The sequence below is a fragment of the Homo sapiens genome, chromosome 14, assembly GCF_000001405.40.
Source record: "Homo sapiens chromosome 14, GRCh38.p14 Primary Assembly".
Classification (NCBI taxonomy): domain Eukaryota; kingdom Metazoa; phylum Chordata; class Mammalia; order Primates; family Hominidae; genus Homo; species Homo sapiens.
This window is the reverse complement of record NC_000014.9, coordinates 97,652,444-97,660,713: the sequence shown is the minus strand read 5'-3', so window position 1 is coordinate 97,660,713 and position 8,270 is coordinate 97,652,444. Positions and strand designations below refer to the sequence as shown.

At 43.3% G+C, this 8,270-nt stretch overlaps 1 long non-coding RNA gene across 1 annotated transcript in view; it reads left to right on the top strand.

Moving 5' to 3' along the window:
* LINC02291 (long intergenic non-protein coding RNA 2291) overlaps positions 1 to 8,270 on the top strand; it is a 54,012-nt gene that overhangs the window by 25,945 nt on the left and 19,797 nt on the right. The gene's annotated exons all lie outside the window — the stretch shown is intronic.

Sequence of the window (8,270 nt, the reverse complement as noted above, 5' to 3'; positions counted from 1 at the left end):
TATTTTGCAAACGGGTATGAGAATATCGGAGAGGAGCAAGTCAGTGGTATTGCCCACTTAAATGCAAGTTACTTTTCATTTAAAGAACAAGTTTAATAGAACAAATTTTGGAAAATGCTGCAATAGATTAATTTATCTGGAATCCAGGATTCCTGAATCTCAGCATTGCATGGTGTTTCTCATTGACATCAGCACCTGTGCCCAACAGTAAATCAGCAGCTTCACTCATTCTCACCCCTGTCCCAAGGTAAATGGCTAGGAGCTTCAGGAAGAGTCCTAGGCCATCCTTCCAAGTACAAAATGGGCTGCTGCCTTTGAGTCTTGATCTCTTTATCAGGAGAGCTCTTTAAAGAGAGCTTGGGGCCAGTGGAGCAGAGAATACAAATTTCAGGTGGACAGGCCTCCAGGCCAGCAGCTTTCACTTAAAGCAGCTTCTTTTCAACTGTGTGCCTTTGAACAAATCACTTACCCTCTCTGAGCTTTAGTTCTCATGGGAATCATCTGATGAAGGAAATGCAGAGAAAAGTGCATGCCACAGATCTTAGGGAGCCCAGGCTAAATGTAGTTCCAGAAAATAGCACTCGGTGAAGACTCATCAGGTTCCAGGTTCTGTTAGACTTTTTCCTATCCCTTTTCTCCTTTAATTCTCAGGATTATCAACTGGGCCAAGTGTTGATATCCCCATTTTACAGACAAAGAAATCAATATGCCCATAGGCTAATTTCTCCCATTCTAAGCTAATAAATGACTGAGCAAAGAAACTGAAATAGAAGGCTGATTTTGTAAGATGGTCAAACTACCCCCAACTGCAAGTCACATGTCAGTCTGTATCCTGCCTGACCTTTCACCTCTTCCCACCTGTTTAGCCTCCCTACAACTCACTCCATCTTCCCATATCTGAGGCAAGTTTTCCAAGCAAGTCTTTTTTTTTCTTTTCTTTTCTTTCCTTTTTTTTTTTTTGAGACGGAGTCTCGCTCTATCACCCAGGCTGGAGTGCAGTGGCACGATCTCGGCTCACTGCAAGCTCCACCTTCCAGGTTCATGCCATTTTCCTGCCTCAGCCTCCCAAGTAGCTGGGACTACAGGCGACGGCCACCACGCCCAGCTAATTTTTTGTATATTTAGTAGAGACAGTGTTTCACTGTGTTAGCCAGGATGGTCTCGATCTCCTGACCTCCTGATCTGCCCGCCTCGGCCTCCCAAAGTGCAGGGATTACAGGCGTGAGCCACCGCACCTGGCCCAAGACTTTTTCTTTTAGATAGAGTCTGGTTCTATTGCCCAGGTTGGAGTGAAGTGGTGTGATCTAGGCTCATTGCAAACCTCTGCCTCCCAGGCTCAAGCCATCCTCACACCTCCGCCTCCTCAGTAGCTGGGACTACAGGCACGTGCCACCACACCTAGCTATTTTTTTGTATTTTTTTCTAAGAGACTGGGTTTCTCCATGTTGCCCAGGCTGGTCTCAGACTCCTGTGCTCAAAGGATCCACCTGCCTCTGCCGCACAAAATGCTGGGATTACAGATGTGAGCCACTGCACTCAGCCACAAATCCACTCTTCAGAAAGCTTCTACAATGCCTTGTCTTGATAAAAAATGAACTGGCTGTGCGAGTGACAGATCACAGGTTTCATGCTCACTTCCTCACACAGCCTCGGCCCAGTTCCAGTGGAGGCTGTAGAAGTCATTTCTCCTCCTCCAGGGAGGTCCCGGATACATGACAAGTATTGCTGAACCCGTTTGGTGCCAGAGCAGTGAGCTCCTCTTTCTTTTACCACCATCTCCCTGCATCTCTGACTCCAACATTCAAGTCTTTCTTTAGAAGGGAAGAACACATCTGACTGCCTTTAGAATAAGAAGCTCCCTTTGCTGGCTGTTAAGGGAATAACATTTTCATGGCAATTCCTTAGTCCCTGACATATACAGAAGCAGGAAACTTCTCTCGGGGAGGCAATCTGAGAATCTTGATCCCATTAGCAACCCAATATCCACCTCAATCGTCTCCTATGTAAATCAGGAAGCACCTTGCATCTCTCTGTTGAAGGGGTGTTCATCACTGGTAGACAGCCTCTTTGATCTTGATACGAAATCCAGATTATGGGAAAATCTTGCCTTCCCAGCCCTTTAATCCTCCCAGTGTGCTCAGTTCTGCCACTCTTGGCTGCTTACCATAAGGCGAATCTTCCAGAAAGAGGCTGTTTAGGAGGCTTTGCCCTCCATCCTCCCTTCCCTTCCGTCTCACAGGACATGGCCTGATGCATCCTCTCTGATTGTAGACAGGCTCCTCTGAGGTCTTCTCATATTTTGCTTCTACTCCTGTTCAAGGGCATAGCCCTGAAGCAAAGATAAACCTCAGAGCTGTTTAACCAGCACTGCTCAGGGATCCACCTGTCTTGGCTTTGACCTCATTTTTTTATTAACGCAAACTACAGCCACTCTGGAGTTTTTAGTGAGTCACGTCTCACCTTCCCAATTGGGAAGAGAATGTTAAATAATATTATATCAGTTCATGATAACAACATCATGCAGTTTGTAAATAGCAACCATCAGGACCAAGCCTCAATCTAGGGCTTGGTCGCTCCACAACCTCCCTTTTCTTCTTTGCTTTCAACAGTAAGCCTGTGTCCTTCTCCTGTTAGATATGCTTCCTCAAGGGCCTTTCTCTGATCTCAGGACAACTCAGGCCTTTGTAACAACAGTTTCTCTTTGATCCGTTTTCCATCCCAAGGGAAGGCCTTTCAGCTTGAAGGATTTCACTGCTGAACATGAGGAAATCTTTCAGGCCACCAGGTGACAAAGGAGAAGGGCAAATACCATGACCTCTTGCCCCCTCATCCTCTGCACTGGATCCTACCCAAATTTCCCTGCACACTTGCAGGGGAGCAAACACTGTTCTAAGCTATGTGCCTGCCTCATTAGCATATTTGTCCTTGGTACGGCTCCATGAGTGTAACTACTGTTTTTTTTGGCTCTGTGTTTGCAAAAACTCAGACCCAAGTAAACAGCCTTGTTCATGGTCCCACATCTGGGAAATGAAATTGCCTGATTTGAACCCATGCAGTCTAGATCCTGAACTAGTGTTCTTTCTTTGAAAAGACAAACTTCTAGAAGCTTCTGAAGTCCACAAGCCCTCATCACTGAGTCCTGGCACTCTCACTGGGTGGTACCCTGAAGGCCTGTCACTCCCCGTCTTTGCCCTCCTAAGGACTTAGCCCAGTAAACCCCTTCCCTTCCAGTGCCTTCCAAGGTTGTGCAGACCCCTTCTTCCCCTACTGTTAGCAAGGCTGTTCTCCTGGTCTAGCCTGACCTGGACCCCAAAATCCTGTCTATAGATAAGGTAGGATGGATCAGGCCAGGGAGCATGAACTCGTTAACTCAGGACTTGATGACAATGACAGAGGTTATATGCTGAGAAACTAAGACCGCCCTCAGGAAGGAAAACTCAGTGCAGTCATTGTACATCAAAGCCCTTGAGGATGCCCTGGGCCCTGAATTCTGTCTTTGGGGGTCCATGTCTAAGATTATAAGCCAGGGTCCATTAAGGTGTTACTCACTTCTGGGACATCCATCCCTGTGTCTGTCTCCTGCTCTGAAAGCCGTCCTTCCTTCTTCTGACTTAGCCACTCCTCCCAATAAAGGCAAAATACTCCCTTAGAGCCTAATCTCAGCAACATGAAGCCACACAAAAAATAACCATTTAAACTTGTCTAGGACTCCTGTAGGAAGCAGCTCCCAGCCTCTTGAAATTTGGATTCAAGCTGCTATCATTTCCAACATGTATGCTCATGTTGGAACAAGAAAGGTGGACATGATTGAAATTTGCATTTAAATGGAAATGGTTAAAGGTAAAGGCCCAATGTTTAGAGAAATGAGAGTATCCATTTTTCTAAGAGGGACGCCGAGTGTTATTGTATACCATTAAGGTGTCACTGAGCCGAAATATGTTTAGAAATATTAGATGCTGGTACTGCACACAGAGTGGAGACTGGCATTTGGAAATGACTCCATGCCACAAATGAATCTAAGTGAACCCTGCATCAAGCACAATTGCTTATAATGTGCCTGCCACCATTACCTAATTCCAGCCCTGTTCACTAAACAATAGAAGTTTTATTAGACAGCTTTCTGCTACTTTTCAATTGTAATAAATGCCAGTACTGGTTCATCAGCATACAACTTGGCAACACAGGCCATCTTCCATAGGATACACACAGAGAGACCTGAAAATGTTTGGCTGAGGTTTTACCAAAAATGTCACATGGATTTCATCCACAGTACGTGAACAGTTAATGTGTCGTTATAATGAGCCAAAAGGAAATAGAGCTTAAGGATGTAGAAAATGTTGTCGGCCCTTAGCAGTCTGGACAATTGTATCCACTCTGCAGCAGTATTAGGAAACTCCCAGATATTAATCACTAATAGCATCTGATCATTATTCCTTTCTCATGCCCCAAGTCCATCATGAGGTCAACGGGGTTCTATTCCTTGACTTCTCACTCCAAAACTCAGCGTGATGACTATTCTTATCACCAGGTCAGAAGGCTACAGAGAACTGAAGGGTCTTCACATGCAAACAAATGCTTTACCTGGAAGTGAGCCATATTTCCTTAGTTCACAACACATTGGCCAAAGCTGTTACAGAGTTCCTGAAACAGACTTACCCTGTGCCCAGAAGTTGGAGACTAGGAAATAATAGGTGAGCAGCACCTGCAGCTACACATCACCTTTCTGCAGCTGCTGTCAGGTGAGGAGAAACTGGGGAGGTTGCCTATGAGGGAAGGCAAATGTTATCTAGAAAGTTATGCTTGGGATTGTCTTAGTCCATTCAGGCTGCTATAACAGAATACCATAGACTGGGAGGTCTATAATCGGAGGTCTATAAAGGACAGCAATCTATTGCTCACAGTTCTGCAGCCTGAGAAGTTCAAGATCAAAGTACTGGCACTTTCAGTGTCTGATGGGGGCCTGTTTCCTGGTTCATAGATGGCCGTCTTCTAACTGTATCCTCACATGGCAAATTGGGCAAACAAGCTCTCTGAGGTCTCTTTGATAATCTCATTCTTGAAGGCTCTGCCCTCATGACTTAATCTCCTCCCAAAGTCCCCCCTCCCTCCGAATATTCTCTCATTGGGGGTTAGGATTTCAACATATGAACTTGCAGGAACACAAACATTTGGTTTATAGCAAGGAAGAAGGGCTGAGATAGAGAAACAAAAACACAACCAAAAAAGAAATTGAGCCTATGTCAGCTTGGAAGTATTGAGAAAGAGTACAGGCTGGAGACAAGGTTCATAGCTGAGACAACTCGGAGAGCAGAGGGAGAGTAGTGAACAGCTGAAGTTGAAACATTTGGAATCTAACTCCGGCAGACTCCATGTGGAGACTTTTAACATTACAAAGAGGCATGATCCCTGATGAGTCAGAGATAGCCCCTTAGGGGAGTTAAGTTGAACCAGACAGCAGTCTACAAGACCATGCTATCAGGTGTGGTGGTTGTAATTTTAGGAAAGTATTTATTGGTTTAAACAAATAAACATTATGCAAAATACACAAAACATGACAGAGATCACGTGCAGAGTTCATGCATCCCAAGTGCTTGGTGTGTTTTCTGGCTATCACACCACTATTTGTAAAGTGAATAATTATTAGCTCATTCATTCCACATATATTTTTAAGAGCTTTATTATTAGAGCTTAGAACAATTGCTAATGTGTACTAGGTGTTTAGCAAATGTTTGTGGATGGGCTTAATGAACGACTCTGTCCTTTGAGCCAAATGCCGTACTCTCTGCAGAGAAAGAAATGAAGCTGACAGCAGGCATCATTTCAGCCTCCAGGAGCTTACATGCAGACCCACATCACAATGAACCAAATTACAGTGGGATCAAGGCTGACACTGTGGCGTGATAATGGTCAAATCTGCTTACTTTATGCTAGATACTCTTCTAAGTGCCTTACCCATATTAATGCATTTAATCCTTAAAATAGTTATCTGAGATGAGAATGAGATATAGATCCACAATATAAATGAAGATACTGAGGCTCGGTGTACCTAATTATCTTGCCTAAGGCCACAGAAGTAGCAAAAGGATGTGCCAGGATTTAAACCAAGGTGCCTGGCTCCAGTGCCCACGACTATAATAAAAACATTATAGAGGTGCCAAGGAAGAAGTTGTTATTTCTGCAGAGAATGAGAGATGATGCACTATCTGGGAAAATATCTCTTTGGAGATGTTATTTAACCTGGGTCTTGAAGGATAAGTAAATGTGCATCAATACGGAAGGGATAGTCCAAGGAAATCATACCTAGAGGACCTGGGGGCTGATATCATTTTAGCAGATTCTGAGTCCTTACAGCAAGGGCTATCTCTGTTCTTCGGTGTCTCTGATCCCAGTATGGTCTGTGATTAGCACACAACCATATTTTATTGAATCTAAGATATCATCAATTGTAAGATGAAACAATATCTTCAGTACTACCAATAAAAAAGAAAAAAATAACATTGATAATAAAACCACAGCACAATTCTTTATTATTACTTAGAAATTGTATTTTACACTTACAAAAGAAATCCTTTAGATTTAAGTAGACGTAGAGCTTCATTATATATAATTCTTGTGATCAAAAGGAAGGTACGGTCTTAATAGTCTTAAAACTCGTTCACAGGTTGCAACTTTCTTGAGTCACTTTGGCAGTTGGAGTCTGTGTTGGTTCCATAGAGTGTTTGTTTTTCTGCCATCAAGAATGATGATGATGCAGTGTTGCTTAAAAGAATGCACCAAAGAACAAAGGTTATTGAAGCCAGACAATTAAGTTGGCTTTGCAATTATGGACAGCGGGCCTATTTTTGACTCCTATTTGGGAATGTTGATAAACCCAACTGGTTCACCACTTCCCACAACTGTTTGAGTCCAGGGGGTTAAAAAACATTCTGTGCCCTTAAATCTTGGTTACCATTATGTCCAGGTTACCATTATCTCTGAGAATCTGCAAGTTGCAATGTAGGTCCTCTGATGTACACATGCATGCAGGCTGTGTCCACTGTGTCATCAGTGCTCCTTGGCATACAGTGTTGAGAATGTGTCCTGGAAGTATGCCATTGATTTTAAGGTACATCCCAATTTCAGAGATGCTAGATCCTGTGCTTTGTAAAAGTATTGAAAGATAGAAATAAAAACTGATAAATTTCTGTTGTATAAATAGAAGAATGAGAGTTTGAAAGATCCTGAACGTCAGGGGAAAAAAAAACAGTTTGAGATTTGAACTTGTTCTAAAGATCATGAAATCTCCAGAAATTATTAGGATGTGAGCACTTGGAATATGGGATCGTAGGATCTGATCTTGATTTTAAAATCAAGAACTACTGGAAAGAAAAGAAAATCCTCAAAATTTGAAAATCCCATTGTCTAAAATAATTAGGGATGTTCATAAAACAAGATGGAGTCTGCTGAGCTGATCATATGGGTCTTCCTCAGGATGAGACACCTGAGGGACTGGCTGTGTACGCACCCAGAATGCTGGTGGGAGTGATTTGCATGTCGCCCTCCTCGAAGGCAGGGGTCAGGTGAGATTCGCCTCCAGGTCCCTTGGAGCCCATCGAATCTGCATTCAATCAGCAGTGCCGTTGTTGCTTATGTTTCCAGACCCAACAGAGTCTGGGACAACATGCGCACTCCTGGGGCTTTTCCAGGGGCTGTCTAAAAACGTCCTCAGGACTTTTCCCTGCTGTTTACAATATCATAATATTTATGAATTTATAAATGGAGGGACTATGGCCTCATTTGCCAAATCCTGATACAAAGAACAGATTCAGAGGAATCAAAGTCAGACTGAGGGAATTTCGAAGCAAAGAATATACTGTACTAATAGCTCCACATTCAAATGTGTTTGAAAAGACTTAGGACAATTTATAGTTAATGGTAGTATTAACCAATATTTATTGGTCACTAGTTATGAGCCATAAGTTTGATTATTTCTCAATCTCACGTTAGAAAGTAGATTCAATGATTGTTCTGTCTCACAGAGGAGGAACGTGAGGCTCAGAGTTTAGGAAGCTGGTTCCTGGAGCTGGCAAGGGGTGAAGGCCCGATAGGAGCTCAGACAATTTGACCCCTGAGTTCCAGGTCTGTACTTCTACATGGCATTTTCCAAATTCCCAGCTCTAGTGTTTTCTGGATCTATCACTTATCAGCTCTGTGCCCTCTCACAAGTTAGTTTACTCCCCTGACCTCAGTTTCCCCATTTGCAGTGTTGTGGTAGAAAAAACACCTATATC